At 46.1% G+C, this 16,668-nt stretch overlaps 2 long non-coding RNA genes across 2 annotated transcripts in view; both read left to right on the top strand.

Moving 5' to 3' along the window:
* The first annotated feature begins 3,713 nt into the window (after positions 1-3,713).
* Positions 3,714-9,037, top strand: LOC124903484 (uncharacterized). Its single transcript, XR_007064617.1, has 2 exons — positions 3,714-5,489; positions 7,290-9,037. It is a non-coding gene; the product is annotated as an uncharacterized LOC124903484 (long non-coding RNA).
* A 2,011-nt stretch (positions 9,038-11,048) lies between these two features.
* The window catches only part of LOC105370802 (uncharacterized), a 225,875-nt gene continuing 220,255 nt past the window's right edge, over positions 11,049-16,668 (top strand). Inside the window, exon 1 of the long non-coding RNA NR_135680.1 lies at positions 11,049-11,143. This is a non-coding gene — a long non-coding RNA (uncharacterized LOC105370802). The remainder of the gene's footprint in view (positions 11,144-16,668) is intronic.

Genomic DNA, 16,668 nt, shown 5'->3' on the forward strand with positions numbered 1-16,668 from the left:
ATCTTGCTCTGTCACCCAAGCTGGAGTGCAGTGGCCCGATTTCGGCTCACTGCAACCTCTGCCTCCCAGGTTCAAGTGATTCTACTACATCAGCCTCCTAAGTATCTGAGACTACAGGTGCATGCCACCATACTGGGCTAATTTTTGTATTTGTGGTAAAGATGGGGTTTCTCCATGTTGGCCAGGCTGGTCTTGAACTCTTGACCTCAGGTGATTGGCCTGCCTTGGCCTCCCAAAGTGCTGGGACTACAGGCGTGAGCCACCGTGCCTAGCTGATATTAACATTTTAAATGCTTTTTTTCCTTGTCTAAATTTTGTAAAGAATTTAGAGAACAGGTGTAAACAAGAGGACTAAAAATCACTTCCACATTTGCCACCCAGTTATAATAACTAGTAACATGTTGATGTCTCTCAATTGACCTAATATGATTACATATCAAGTTTCTGAAAACTGAAACAGGATGGCATTGTAAGTAGTGTTCTGTGGCCTAGCGTCTTATGCTTAATAGATAGACACTGAAGACCCAGTGGTTGGTTGTGGAGAGGAGGTAATCGGGGCAATCTCTCAAGGAGCACAGGGCGTTTGTGCCTGCTGAGAAAACTGCTCATTAACCAATTAATGTAACATATATATGTCATGTGCTAAGTAGGGTATTGGTACATAATCAGCATTAGATATTTTCCTCATGCAACTCTTCTTTTTTTTGAGACAGTCTCACTCTGTTGCCCAGACTGGAGTGCAGTGGCGTAATCTCTGCTCACTGCAACCTCCACCTCCCAGGCTCAGCCTCCCGAGTAGCTGGGATTACAGGTCTGTGCTGCCACACCCAGGTAATTTTTTTTTTTTTTTTTGTATTTTTAGTACAGATGGAGTTTCACCATGCTGGCCCAAATGGTCTCAAACTCCTGACCTCAAATGATCCACCCTCCTCGGCCTCCCAAAGTGCTGGGATTACAGGCGTGAGCTACTGCGCCTGGTCTTTTTCTCATGTCATTCTTACAACAACCTTGCAGGAGAAATTATCAAAGACACCTTTCTCAAAAGACATGGAATATTATTCCTTTTGAGAAAGGTGGCTTTTGTAATGCAATGTATAAAAGTAGCTCCTCTGGATGTTTTGGTTTTAAATGCAGTGGTTAACTGTTCCGACATTAAAACAAAGTTCCCCCTTCACATCCTAAGACCACAAAGCTTTTGTTCAGGATGGGCCCCCTGTGATCATCTCAGGGAGGGAAGAAATGCTTTGGATAAGATGAAGGCTTTTGAGTGGATTAAGGAAAACTATATTTCTCCGGTTAGGTTAACTGTCAAGTAGCTAAGAAAATTGCATGTCTATATGCTGGAAGAAGTCAAGGTTAACATTCGGCAATAGGTAGAAAGGTCACAAGAAGCAATTGAGAAGAAGACGGATGGTGAAATACCAGGCAGTTTTCTCCCTCAATATGGATTTTTTAAAAGTAATTTCCCTGGAGTGTAGCATGCTATAAACAATCCTAAATTAGGTCATAACTTTCCATATTTGCATGAAGTAAAACTCCTGTGACTGCATCCCTCAGGTACAATTGGGGGCCACTCCCAGGCCTACAGTAGAATAGAGGCTGCAGAAGGGCAGGTCCTCTGGTGTATACTAGGTACCAGCTGTGTCGGGTTTTCTTGAAGACCAGCCGATAGAACAGAGGACTAGGAGCCCCAGACCTGGATTTGGATCCTGGCTCTCCCACCGACTACTGCCTGAGAGTGTCCAGCTCAAGCATATTAGTCAGCATTTCCTCACCTGTAGGATGGGTAATAATACCGTTTCCACTGAGTTCATATGAGGATTAAGTAAATCAAGGGAAAGCTCTGAGCAGTTTGACAGCTAGACGGTAGCTACTGTTGTTAACTCTAGGAATCCAACAAAGCATTCACAAATATAATTCCCCCTGAAACTAGAAATTTCTATCAGTCCTGCAGAAATGGGATCATGACAGGGGTTTCCAGCATCCTTGCACTAGTCAAAGGGCATGCAGATTCTGTTACTTGCCACCCTTACATCTCTCTGCCTCATTTCAGACTTTCAGCACTGGGAAATTCCCAGTGTTACAGATTCGCCAATGTCGGGTAGTGGGTAAAAGTGCAGGTGTGGACCCGGCCTCTGGGTTTGAATCCTAGATCTGCTTCTCATTGAGTGTATGGTCTAGGGCAAGCCATTTCAACTCTCTAGGTCCTAGTTTTCTTTCTTTTTTTTTTGGAAATGGGGTCTCACTCTGTTGCCCAGGCTGGTGTGCAGGGGCGCCATCTCGGGTCACTGTAACCTCTGCCCTCCAGGTTCAATTGATCCTCCTGCCTCAGCCTTGCCAGTAGCAGGGACTACAGGCATGGACCACTACACCTGGCTAATTTTTTTTTCCTGCCTGCCTTCCTGCCTGCCTTCTTGCCTTCCTGCCTGCCTGCCTGCCTGCCTGCCTGCCTTCTTGCCTGCCTGCCTTCCTTCCTTCTTTCCTTTTTTTTTTTTTTTTTGCTCTGTAGCCCAGGTTGGAGTGCAATGGTGAGACCTCGGCTCCCTGCAATCTCTGCCTCTCAGATTCAAGCGATCTTTCTGCCTCAGCCTCTGGAGTAGCTGGGACTACAGGCCCCCATAGCCATGCCTGGCTAATTTTTGTATTTTTAGTAGAGATGAGGTTTCACCATGTTGGCCAGGCTGGTCTTGAACTCCTCACCTCAAGTGATTCGCTTCCTTTCTTTCTCACTCTTTTTCTTTCTTTCTTGCTCTCTCTCTTTCTCTCCTTCCCTTCTTTCTCTCTCTTTTTCCTTCCTTTCGTCCCTCCCTTCCTCCCTCCCTCCCTCCCTTCCCTCCTTCCTTTCCTCCTCCTCCTTCTCTTCTTCTTCTCCTTCTCCTTCCCTCCCTCCCTCCCTTCCTTCCTTCCTCTTTGTTTCTTCTTTCTTTCTTTTCTTTCTTTCCTCTTTCTTTCTTTCTTATTTCTTTCTCTTTCTTTTTCATTTCCTTTCCTCCTTCACTTCTTCCTTTCTTCTCTTCCTTCCCTTCTTCCCTTTCTTCTCCTTCTTCCTTTCTTTGTTTTTCTTCTTTCTTCCTTTTTCAAGACAGGGTCTCACTGTTGTGTAGACTGAAGTGCAGTAGTGTGATTTTGACTCACTGCAACCTCCGTCTCCTGGGGCTCAAGTGATCCTCCAGGCTCAGCCTCCCATGTAGCTGGGAACACAAGTGCACACCACCAGGCCTGGATAATTTTACTTTTTGTAGAGACAAGATCTATATTGCCCAGGCTGGTCTCAAACTCCTAGGCTCAAGCAATTCCCCCACCTTGGCCTCCCAAAGTGCTGGGATTACAGGCATGATAGTTTTCTTATCTATAAATTGGGGACAAAAATAGCATCTACCTTGCTGAGTTATTATGGAGATTAAATATGTCAAATACTTCTTACATAATGCTAATCAAATACCAAGTACTGTTCTAGTTCTAAGCTATTATTAATTGCCTCAGGTCAATCAAAATTGACTGGCTGCTTCCTCGTGACTTGTAATGAGATATCCCATAGAAACAGATGGGCTCCTTTCCTGGAGTGAAATCCATCTGACCCAAGGTGCGTGGACTCTGACAGGTTTAGCTTATGGAAGGCCCTTTGTATTCAACCTCTCTTTATCGCAAATCAATTCCTCTTTCCAGGGTATATAAATATATACCATAGAGGCCGGGTGCAGTGGCTTCATGCCTGTAATCCCAGCACTTTGGGACACTGAGGAGGGCGGATCACTTGAGGTCAGGAGTTTGAGACCAACCTGGCCAACATGGCAAAACCCCGTCTTTACTAAAAATACAAAAAAATAGCTGGGTGTCCTGGTGCACGCCTGTAGTCCCAGCTGCTTGGAAGGCTGAGGCAGGAGAATCACTTGAACCCGGGAGGCGGAATCACTTGAACCTGGGAGGCGGAGGTTGCACTGAGCTGAGATTGTGCTACTGCACGCCAGCCTGGGCGACAGAGTGAGACTGTCTCAAAAAAAAACCCTCAGAAAACATACATACCATAGAGACATACTATTAGAAATGCTATTTGTTATAGAGGATCAATGAATAAAAAAATGTCATATTAGTCACTCCCATGAACATTTAACTTCTTGTGCATCTAATATAGGTAGGGCTATGGGGATTTATAGAGGAAAGCCTTTGCCCTCAATGAGATCTGTTTGGTTACTTATGTGTCCATCATGTGAATTGCCAAGATAGATGTCCCATCTGTATGTTCTGATAGCATATTTTAGAATATCCCACTGGCTTATATCAGACATTCAGGGAAAAAAAGAGGAAGTTTGAGCTGAATTCCCAAACTAGTCAGAGCTCATTTGGTTGTAAGTGACAGAAATCCAACCCAAATAAGCCTATGCAAAAAAGGGAATTTGTTGGCTCATGTAACTGGGAAAGCTAAGGGTAGACTTCAAGCGTGGCTGGATCCAGGAGTCAAATAATATAGTTACAGCGCTCTCTCTTTTCATCTCCCAATTCTTTTTCCCTCTGAGTCATTTTTTTTTTTTTTTTGAGACAGAGTCTCACTCTGTCACCCAGGCTGAAGGTGGTGGTGCCATCTCGACTCATTGCAACCGCCTCCCAGGTTCAAGTGATTCTCGTGCCTCAGCCTCTGGAGTAGCTGGCGTTACAGGCCTGCACCACCATGCGTGGCTAATTTTTGTATTTTTAGTAGAGATGGGGTTTCGCCATGTTGGTCAGGCTGGTCTTGAACTCCTGACTTCAAGTGATCCACCCACCTCTGGCCTCCCAAAGTGTTGGGATTACAGGTGTGAGCCACCACCCCTGGCCATCTCTGAGTCACTCTTCTACTATAGACACATTTTCGCAATGTGGCCAGGGAAGAGGGCTATGTTCACGACCTCTCTGATTGGTCTCTTTGGAGGAAAGCAACAAACTTTGCTTTCTAAGTGTTCATAGATCAATTTTAGGTGAGGATTATAATTATCACCTGATAAATAAATGTGTTTTCCTTATCAGAATGAGTACAGGGATTTGTCATCTTTTGTTCAGTGCTGTATTAGTAGGACCTAGAATAGTATATATGGCACACAGTAAGGTACTCAGTAAATATTTGTTGAATAACTGAACGAATTAGCTAAATTTTTGTCATTGCCCACTTCATATCTAAGGGAGTGGTTTGCTACCCAAAGAAGGACATTGGAAGAAAGATGTTCTGAGCAATGCCAGACCATTATTATCTCTATGGTCCCGAACCAAGAGCAAGACTTGGCCAAAGAGGAGTGGAAACTTCCCAGGCACAGGGAATAGTATATGTAAAGGGGTAGAGGTGAGGGGATGCAGGACCTAGAGTTAGTTTGGTAGGGGTGGACTACTGGACCACATGAAGACAGGCTGGGAAGCGGTCTTTTGAAGGCCCTTGGGCTGCATTTTTTTCTGTTGCTTTTGTTCCTTCAGCCCTGCCCTTCACCTTCTGCACATTGCCCTGTGCCCCGGGAGGCTAACAGGTATGGCATCAATGTCCTCTCCTGATTATCTGGTTTCTGGTTGGGTTTGGCCAATGGAGGGTGTTGGTAGGAGATGGGAGAGAGGGAGGAGAGTAAGATTGGCCTTTTTATTTATTACTCTGGCTCCCTCCCTGCAGTGCTGTCTTGGCCCCATGATGAGGGAAGAACGGAAGTTAAGAATATACGTTTATGGCCGGGCACAGCAGCTCATGCCTGTAATCCCAGCACTTTGGGAAGCTGAGGCAGGTGGATCACTTGAGGTCAGGAGTTCAAGAACAGTCTGGCCAACAGAACAAAATCCCGTCTCTACTAAAAATACAAAAAATTAGCTGGGTGTGGTGGTGGGTGCCTGTAATCCCAGCTACTCGGGAGGCTGAAGCAGGAGAATCACTTGAACCCAGGAGGTAGAGGTTGCCATGAGCCAAGATCGCACCACTACACTCCAGCCTGAGAGACAAAGCAAGACTGCGTTTCAAAAAAAAAAAAAGAGAAAAAGAAAAAAAGAATATACATTTATAAATCCTTATAGCAATTTGATAGAGAATTTTATCTTTTGAATCTAATATGGGTTGAGGATCACTAATCTGAAAATCTGAAATCTTAAATGCTCCAAAATCTGAAACTTTTTGAGGGCCAACATGATGCCACAAATGGAAAACTCCATATCTGACCTCATGTGATAGGTTGCCATCAAAACTTTATTTCATAAGCAAAATTATTAAAAATGTTGTACAAAATTATCTTCAGGCTATGGGTAATGGTACACCTAATACAATGAATTTCATGTTAGATTTAGGTCCCATCCCCAGCATATCTTATTATGCACAGTAGATGCAAATATTCCAAAATCTGAAAAAATCTGAAATCCAAAACACTTCTGGTCCCAAGCATTTCAGATTAAGGGATACTTAATTTGTAATTAAAAACATTAGGGCTTGTACTCTCTGTGGGTTTTCTCATCTCATTGTTTCCTAATAGTTTTTTTATTGTAAGTTACCAAAGCACTAGTCTGAGGAGAATAGGATTAAAAAAAAAATCAAACACAAAGAGGGTAGAAACCCAAACCTGGTCCTTCAGCACAGATCATTAGAGAAGCTTGACTCTCCATCACTCTTTTGGGTTCTGGAAATTGCTCCCTGCCTTTGTCCTGCTGGGCCTGGAGGGGAAAGAGCTCCACTGCTATCAACCCGAGCGACTACTCTTTGCCTGTGGTTCCCCTAAACCTAGGCCCCTCATTTGTAAACCAGCCCATTTTGAATTATCTTAATTTGACTGTGTCATCTGCTTCCTGTTGGGACCCCGGCGGACCCAAGGTAACCTAAAAATGATGCCAAGCTATTGCGAGAGTTTATGGAGGAATGACAGGAGATTGTAGCCACATGAGTGAGGTATAGACAAGGGAGGAGACCCCAGACAGAGTGACAAATGCCAGGGCCAACTCACTTTAAAATGCTGAAGGCTTGAACTAAGGCAGTGGTACTAAGGGCAGGAAAAAATCCATAGATATTTAAGATATCCTGTCAGTTAGGAAAACAGAAATCTGTTTAGATTTGGGTCCCGTTAAGCTATAAATAGCTTAAGGAGAAGAATTAAATATTGTAGAGGGTGGCAAACCATGACCTTTGAGCCAAGTGCAACCAGTGGCCTGTTTTTATAAATAAAGTTTTATTGGAACATGGTCATGCTTGTTTATGTGATGTTTGGGGTGCTTTTCTGCTACAAAGGCAGAGTTGAGCAGTTGTAACAGAGACCATATATGATCTGCAAAGCCTAAAATATTTACTCTCTGGCCCTTTACAGAAAGAGCTTGCTGACTCCTGGAATATTGGGATGGCAACGTTTACAGAACTCTAGGGGAACAAGCAAGAATCGTGGAAAACTACTGTTGGTTTTCATATCGGGGGCTGAATAAACTGCAGGAATACTGGCCCCAGTGATCTTGGCTGTGGATCAGCCACATCAAAATATGTGATTGCAGGAGACCGCTTAGAAACCTATGCTGGCCTCATGTCTGCAGATGCAGATGTCCACCAACACCAGAGGAGGAAGGGCTTCTCCTCATCTGCCTTCCCATCTGTCACGAGTGCCCCTCATTGGCTGGCACTAAGTGAAACTGATGTACATTTCCAGCTTTTCCTCTTGATACACTGGTGATCATAGAAGGGGCAGGGATAGGGAAGCCCGGGGCTTTGGGGTGACTAGAGAGGGTAGGGATTTGGAGTCTGGGAGGACTCCCAGGCTTTGGTGACAGTGATGAATTGTGGTGATACCCACAGAGAGGATGAGAAGAAGAAAAGAAGAAGATTCTGGACAGGAGGGGAGGCCCTATTGGGAGGTTAGATTCCCAACCCCCTGCCAACTGTGGAGTTGAGTCACAGCCACCTGCCCCAGTGGGGCTGTACTTACATTGATTCATGGAGTAAAACCATTAAGTACTTTTGACATAAAACATTGGTATTCTGAGCCCGGGATGAACAGATTTTGCCATGGCTGATGGATATCTAGCTCACAAGCTAACACAGCTATACATCTTCCTTTGGTAGGTTTCAAGGAGACCTTCCAGGAACTGGAAAGCATTGGCAATTTCTTTGGCCTGGCGCCCTGTTGGCATGCATGGTCTTGTGAATGCCAGAGAGGCCTGAAGCAAAGTAACCAAGTGAGGAGAGTAGATTGGAGGGAGAGGAGGTGAGACGCAAAGGGGTGGAGAGGAGACCAAGGAAACCCTGGGGAGGAGCCTCATTACAGAGGTGAGAGGTCACCTAATGCCCATGGAGCAGGGAGCAATGGAGGATAGGGGGAAAGGGTGCTAGGACTGCAGGTGCTGACCAGCCCAGGCCTCCGCCTCCACCTGGCTTATTGTCAGTCAGAGCTTCACCTTCCTCCAGAGCATGCTCCCTACTGTTGACTGGGGACTGTGCTGTGAAATTTAGCAAGATCTGGCAGAAAACTCTTCCCCATCCTATATCTTTCTTTGGGCAGAGACTCAAGGACCTCAGTTGTGTGACTTTTCACTTCAGCAAAGTTGGTTTTATTAGCTCTACTTCCCCCAGTTTGGTAGTAATCCAGCTCACAAATCCATCCTTACAGCCTACTAATCCATGTTACATCCTACTAGTTAACGATTGTCTTCTAAATGAGGAATGCCTTCCAATTATTTTTATGTGCAAATACAATACTGCAGGTGCTTAAACATCAATAATGGTAAAAACAACATGGTAATTGCTCTAGACTGAATGTTTGTATTTCTCTCAAATTCATATGTTGAAGCCCTCAACCCCAATGTGGCTGTATTTTGAGATAGAGCATTTACAGGAGTAATTAAGGTTAAATGAGTCCACAAGGGTAGGGCTCTGATCCAAAAGAAATAGTGTCCTTATAACGGGAGGAACCAGAGAGCTCTCTCTCTCTGCCATGTAAGAATACAGTAAGAAGGTTGCTGTCTACAAACTAAGAAGAGGGCCCTCACCAGAATTCAATCATGCTGGCACCTTATCTTGGACTTTCAACCTCCAGAATTGCAAGAAAATAAATTTCTGTTCTTTAAGCCACCCCAGTCTGTTGTGTTTTGTTATAGTAGCTCAAGCTGATTAAAAAAGTATTTGAATGGTTGTGGTTAAGATGAAACTTTTCTAGAATTCAACTTACAAATTTAGAAAATGGCTGCTATTTATGATTAGAAACAACATGTTCATTGTCAAAAGTCCTGACACATTTGCAAGATAACATGGCAAAGGAGAAGTAGAACTGAGATTTGAAATCTCTCCCAGTGTCTTGGGAGAACTTGTCGATGTCAGTATTACTTCGGAGTTCTTTTCCTGTTCAGCACTGTCCTATTTCTGCTTAGGTAGTAAAGGAAAGGGGAGAAATGTATTTGTCTAAATTATTTCACTTGCCAAGTAGAAATAAATAAATAAAAATAAAACTTTCATTGGTTTAAGTATCTAGGAAGTCTGGGAAGGAGATCAAGCATGGGTGGATCAAGAAGCTTAATTTCTTAATTTCTTGACCTTTCAGCTCTGACTTTCTTTGTGTTGGTTTCTTTCTCAGGTAGACTCACTTCATATGTTGACCAAGTGGGCCTGGGCAGGGTTAGACTTTCCTGGTCTAGAGCCCACAGACCCAGAGACAATGCCTCTTTTCTGTTAACAGTAAAAATCTGGTGAGAACTTTGAGGATTCAAGCTGGGTTTGTGAGCTTCCCGGAACCAGTCATGTGCTCATCCTTGAAGGAGAGGATTAGGTCAGCCATGTGTGAGCCACATGGACCGAGAATGGGTGTAGGTGTGGGGTTTAAAAACCCACATTTACTACAAGGATAGGAAGGTGGACACATCCTGTCTTCTCCATTAACAGTGTTAATTTATTCATTCATTCTACAATTAGCAATCGCATGGGGCCTGGCCGACTGCTGAGGTTCCTCAGGTGAGTAAGACGGGCTCCAGCCTTGGAGGAGCTTCCAGTCTAAGGGAGCCCGAGTTCACAGAGAGGGTCCCCTAGGACACTGGCACGGCATCCTGCTGGCCAGGAAAGGGAACTGCTGCTCCTCCAGAGAGGATAGGTGGGTTTGTTGTTTTTTTTTTTTTTGCCAGAGAACACCATGGTTCCTGCCAGCACCTGCTTACGACAGCCCTTTCAACGTCGCAGGGCTTGTCAGTGGGTTCTGTGACAGAACCGTGCAAGTAATGGTACGCGGAGAGGGCGCGCGAAAGCGCCTGGCTCGTTCCTGGAGCCCGGGCTGCGGACGCCCCCTGCGTGCTGCGAAACCTGAGGGGTCTCGGTCCTTCCTGGCCTTTTATAGGCCGTGCCTAGAAACGCTTGGCTTGACCAGTTAGAAGTAACGCCACGCTGTGAATGTTTACCACCTGCGCACTGTCAGCGCTGAGTAAAGGGGCCCGAACCCCCGGTTCCAGGAGCCCCTGCTCGCCTCTCCAGCCACCTTCCCACCAGCCCACAACGCACAAGGACCACAGCTTCCAGAGGCGCCGTGCGCTCTCTTTCCAGGCGCTTTCCCCCTGCTGGAATGCTCCACCCCTTCCGCTCGGCGAACTCCTATTCATCCTTCTGGACTCCTTCCCAGAGCTAACTACAGACCTGAAAGATTTCTTCTTCTGCGCTCTCAGGGAACAACAGTCCTTAAAGTCCAGCTCACGCTGCTGTGCTGCAGCGTCGCTCTCGGTCCCCTCCACTGCACTGGGTCTCCCCACTGCACTGGGCCCCCTCTTCACTGCACCCGGCCACTCCACCGCACCCGGTACCCCGGCCCTCTATGGCACCCAGTTCTCTCTCCTCGGCACCCAGTTCCCCGCCCCCACCTCCGCCCCAACGGCACCCAGTCCCTCGCACCCAGCACCGCCCCCGTCCCTCGCACCCAGCACCGCCCCCGTCCCACCAACAGCACCCAGTCCCCCCGCTCCGCCACGGCACCCAGTCCCCTCAGGGCACCCGGTTCCCCGCCTCCGCCAAGGCACCCGGTTCCCCGCCTCCGCCAAGGCAACCGGTCCCCCCCCCCCCCGCCCCCCGCTACGGCACCCAGTCCCCCGACGGCTCTCGGTCTCCTCCACGCCGAGCCTCGGAGAGCAGGGGCTTTGCTTTTCCGGCTGAGGTGTTCAATAAACATCTCTTAAACAAAGGAGTGCGCAAGTGAGATAATATAAGGTAAGTGCTTGCCACTATACGAATGTACAGAAAGGAAGATGTTATTATTTTACTTCAGCCCCATATTTAATTATAAAGCATTTGTGAGCAAAGCTGATTAACACTGATTTCTAATTTCTAGCGTGAGACATGACGCTTGGGAGACAAGCTGTAAATGAGACGTGGGGCTTATGTTTTCGGTAGGTGAGATTTAATGTACACAAGGGTAAGAGTAGGAAACAAAAGTAATTCGAAGTTAAATATGGTCTTTTTGGTTAAATTCTACGGGTTCTGGGAGGAGGGCAATACCATTTCCTGCTGAGGTGAGTTTGCTCACCCATTGCCATAATCACAATCGTAATAAAAATAACATTAATAACTACAATTGATCGAGCTCTTTGAGGCGGACATCGGGTTAGGCATTTTGGATCCAATTTCTCATTTAATCCTCACGACCATCTTGAGGGAGCGCATTTTACCCGTGTTTTACGGGGGACTGAAGCTTAAGGAGCAGTAACTTGCCCAGGTCACGTGGCTAGGAAGAGACAAGGTCAGGTCAGAGCCACAAGAGGGCGCTCTTCCCCTTTCTATTCTATGTTGTCCTGTGGTTCCCGCTTTTCCTCAGGGGCACCTTCCACAAATGTAAAAACCCCACATAAACATCTTGTTTCTCTGTCTTCCTCCTCCCCAGTGTCTCTCTCTCCTCTCAGTCTGTTTGTCTCCTCTCAGTTTCTCTCTCCCTTTCCTTACTTGTTTTTTGTCTCTCTCTTCCTCCTTGTTTTCTGTTTATTTATCTATTTCAGGGGATGGGCAGCCTTGGGAATATGGGCTGTAGGTAGGAAGAGAACATTTCTGGAACTGAAAATTATGCTGCATCTTGTCTAACGGGAAGCAAAATTTTTGAATGTGGGAATCTTGTAAAATCTAGACGTTGGTCATCAATACACATGGCATGAAACTGTAAAACTATGAGCAGCTGTGGTGAGTTGTGACTGGGAAGCCACATGGGGTGTGTATGAGCACATGCATTTGCAAGCTTCCCTGGAGCTTCCTCCAGGTTACTCCTGGGTTCTGCCTTTCCCTGGTTACACTTAGGATTGAAGCCTCATTCACCTCTGTGTATTTGCTCATGCTTTTCCTGTCACTGGTGTTAATTTCTGTAGTCTCTCTGCATGTTTAACTAAATTCTACCTCTTTTTTTTTTTTTTTTTTGAGACAGAGTCTTGCCTGTTGCCCAGGCTGGAGTGCAGGGGTGTGATCTCAGCTCACTGCAACTTGAGTCTCCCAGGTTCAAGCGATTCTCCTGCCTCAGCCTCCTGAGTAGCTGGGATTACATACAGGTGCACACCACCACGCAGGGCTAATTTTTTCTTTTCCTTTCTTTTTGTTTTTTTTAGACAGAATCTCGCTCTGTTGCGCAGGCTGGAGTACAGTGGTGTGATCCGGGCTCACTACAACCTCTGCCTCCCAGGTTCAAGCGATTCTTCTGCCTGGGACTACAGGTGCGTGCCACCATGCCCGGGTAACTTTTTTTTGTATTTTTAGTAGAGATGGGGTTTCACCATATTGGCCAGGCTGGTCTCGATCTCCTGACCTTGTGATTCGCACCCCCCCCCCGCCACCTTGGCCTCCCAAAGCGTTGAGATTACAGGCGTGAGCCACCGCGCCGGGCCTAATTTTTTTATTTTTATTTTTAGTAGAGACGGGGTTTCACTTTGTTGACCAGGCTGATCTTGAACTCCTGGCCTCAAGTTATCCGCCCTGCCTTGGCTTTCCAAAGTGCTGAGATTGCAGGTGTGAGCCACTGTGCCTGGCCAAAATTCTACTTATTTTTTTATAGAGGAGTAGTACAGGCTGTTTCTGACTGCCCCATCTGTAAGTAAACAATCTAGTTTTGAATTGTCAATTGATTTAAAAGTGATAGTTTTCAAATCTTCATTGAGGCATTTTGTATCCATTGATTCTTTCTGCCAGGGCACACACTCTGTCTACGTTATGCACTGAAGCCTTTCTGTGTATCCTTACTGGGCCTTGATGCTGGGTAACTGCACGATTCTGGTAACCAAACCTGGTGGCACATCCCAATCAGCTTTTTCAAAATAGGGCTTTCTAGACTTTCACCTGGAGATTCTGTCTAGAGGTGTTTGGGCTGAAGCCTGGCAACTGTGTTACATGAACAGTTGGCCCCCATCCCTGGGGCATCTGCCTCTGCTGCACTGATGCCTTCCCCAGCTCACATCATGGCTGCATGGGGCCAGAGGGGGTTCCCTGTGATGCTTGCAGAAAAGCTTGGGTCTGCTGGTAGGAGTGGAAAATGGACTGCTGCCCACTCCAGAGTGGCTTTAAAGGACAGTGGAGAGGGAGTCTTCCTAATGAGCAGAGCTGTGAGCAGTACCCTTGTTTGTCCATCTTGTATGGAGGGAGAAGGGGCCCGAGGTCGCTTACATGGACTCCTGGGGAGTGGTGACTGATTTGGTTGCAAGTCTGGAAAGAGCAGGAGTGGAAGATCTGAGAGCAAGAGTCAGGGTGAGGTGTGGATGAACCTACAGGAGTGGGCAGAGAGCACTCAGATCTCCCTGCTGGCCATCAATACCCGGCTGAGGGTGAGCACAGCAGAGGAGTCGCTCAACAACCGGGTGGACAAGACGACTCGTCTGGTAGACGCCTGCCAGCCTCTGCCCTTGGTCACTCCAGTGCTCATGTTACCAGAAAGGGGTCCTGATCTAGATCCCAAGACAGGGTTCTTGGATCTCACACAAGAAATAATTCGAGGCTAATCCATAAAGTGAAAGCAAGTTTATTAGGAAAGTAAAGGAATAAAGAATGGCTACTCCATAGGTGGAGCAGCCTGAGGGCTGCTGGTTGGCTATTTTTATGGTTATTTCTTGATTATATGCTAAACTAGGGGCAGGTTATTCATGAGTTTTCCAAGAAAGAGGTGGGCAATTCCCAGAACTGAGGGTTCCTCCTCTTTTTAGACCATATGGGTTAACTTCCTGACGTTGCCATGGCATCTGTAAACTGTCATGGCACTGGTGGGAGTGTCTTTTAGCATGCTAATGCATTATAATTAGTGAATAATGAGCAGTGAGGTCACTTTTGTTGCCATCTTGTTTTTAGTGGGTTTTGACCAGCTTCTCTACTGCAACCTGTTGTATCAGCAAGGTCTTAATGACCTGTACCTTGTGTGGACCTCCTATCTCATCCTGTGACTTAGAATGCCTAACCTCCTGGGAATGCAGCCCAGTAGGTCTCAGCCTTATTTTACCCAGCCCCTATTCAAGATGGAGTTGCTCTGGCTCAAACACCTCTGATGCTCACTCCACGGGCCCATGGCTGGAAGAGTTACGGTAGTAGGGATAGAGGCTCTGTAGAGGGCCAACAGCAAGGGCCCCCTCTGACCAAAGCTGATCCAGTTACTGCCACTGCTGAATACCCGACCTGTTGATGGCAGAGAACGAAGATGACCCCTTGGTATGGTCCTACTTCTTGGAGAGTCTAGCTAGACATTTGCTGGCAAGTTGATTCCATCAGGCCTTTCTCACCCTGCAGGGGACAGTGATTGATTCTTTTTTGGAGTTGATTCCATCAGATACCATCAGTTTGCCCTTCCTATGTCTTTGCTGGTATCATCCAAGGGTTCACAGAGTACCTGATTACTGACATGGGGTTCCATGTAACAGCTTTTCAGATGAGAGCCCATTTCACAGTGGAGAAAGTGTGATACTAGCACCCAGCACAGGGTTCTCTGGACCCACCACGCACCACATGGCCTGGCAGCCTAAAGGAGGATGCAATGGCCAGTGGGCCTTTGTCCCCTCAGCTGGAATCAGCTTGTGGTAGATGTCCCTTAGATAGAGCCCCCAGAGACATCCAGGGACTCTGAATGCAGGTATTTCCATAGAGAACAGGAGGCCAGAGGAAGCAGGAGTTCAGGCCTGGTAGCATGTGTGCAGTGGGACACTAGATGTCTCAGAGCAGGAATCTGTATTTTTAAAGCCTCTTAAGGGATGACAGGTACTCTCCTAGGGTCGAGAACCACCGGGGGGGGGAAAGAGGATGAAACATGGAGGAGGAAGAGCTGGTTGTGAGTCCTGGTGCCATCACTTGCCCAAGGTGACCTCCCTTCGTCACAGGCTGAGGTGAGGATCACAGTTACTGGCTTACTCATTTATACTCTTTTCTCATTAGAACTGGGATCAACATATCAGCTAGGATCACCGTGTGTGAACCACTATTAAATGAGTTAATATACATAAGGTATATAAAACAGTGCCTCAATTGCACAAGAGCACTATAAAAGGATTAGCTATTTTTATGCAAGTGATTGTTACTGTTAACAGAGGTTGAGGCACAGAGGAAGTCACTGATGAGGCCCAAAAATGCCTAATTCTTCCTGTCCATTGGCTCCTTGAGAACCCAGCAGCAGGCAGCAGGCAGCAGGATGACCATTTCTTGCTTTCTTTTTTCTCTCCACTTTTTATTTGGAAATAACTTCAAACTTACAAAAATTGCAAACATAAAATAGTGCAAGGAGCATTTATATACCTTTTACTCAGATTCACGCATTGGAATGTTTTACTCCCATTTGCTTTATTGTTCACGTTCTATTTTTTTCTTTGAGATGGAGTTTCGCTGTTTTTGCCCAGGCTGGAGTGCAATGGCGCGATCTCGGCTCACTGCAACCTCCGCCTCCCAGGTTCAAGCGATTCTCCTGCCTCAGCCTCCCTAGTAGCTGGGATTACAGGCGCCTGCCACCACGCCCGGCTAATTTTTTGTATTTTTAGTAGAGATGAGGTTTCACCATGTCGGTCTGGATGGTCTCGATCTGTTGACCTCGTGATCTGCCCACCTCAGCCTCCCGAAGTGCTGGGATTACAGGCGTGAGCTACTGCACCCGGCCCTATTGTTCATGTTCTTTATCTTTCTTCCTATCTCTCTAAATTTGTGGAATATATATACATACATATTTATATATAGATACAGATGTATATCCATATATAAATATTTATTTATTTATACTATCGTATATTATATATGCATTCCCATTTTTTTTTGGAATTAAAGGTGAGTGACATCATGGCCTTTAATCCTCAATACTACATTATACCAAATACTAAATTATAATACCAGGAGTACTAAATACTACACAAAGGATGATCTCTTATATAACCACAGCACAGTTGTCAGCCTCACACATTTACACTGATACAATATGTTATCTAATCTACTGTTCATATGCCAATTTTATCAGTTGGTCTAATGATGTTTTTTTCCAGCATTTTTCCCTCCAGCACAGAATCCCCTGTAGGGTCAGGCTGCATTTAGTTGTCCTGTTTCTTCAGCTTTCCTTCATCTGGAACATTTCCACAGCCTTTCTTTGTCTTTTATAACCTTGACATTATTGAGGGACACTTCCCTTCCCCCTGTTGTTTTAATAGGACGTTCCTCATGTTACATCTGTCTGGTGTTCCCTTGCAAGCAAGGTTGTGTGTTCTTGGCCGCCATGGGTCCTGTTGTGCAGGGCCACCATTCCTAATAAGGCA

This window comes from Homo sapiens, chromosome 15 (assembly GCF_000001405.40).
Source record: "Homo sapiens chromosome 15, GRCh38.p14 Primary Assembly".
NCBI classification, from domain to species: Eukaryota; Metazoa; Chordata; class Mammalia; order Primates; family Hominidae; genus Homo; species Homo sapiens.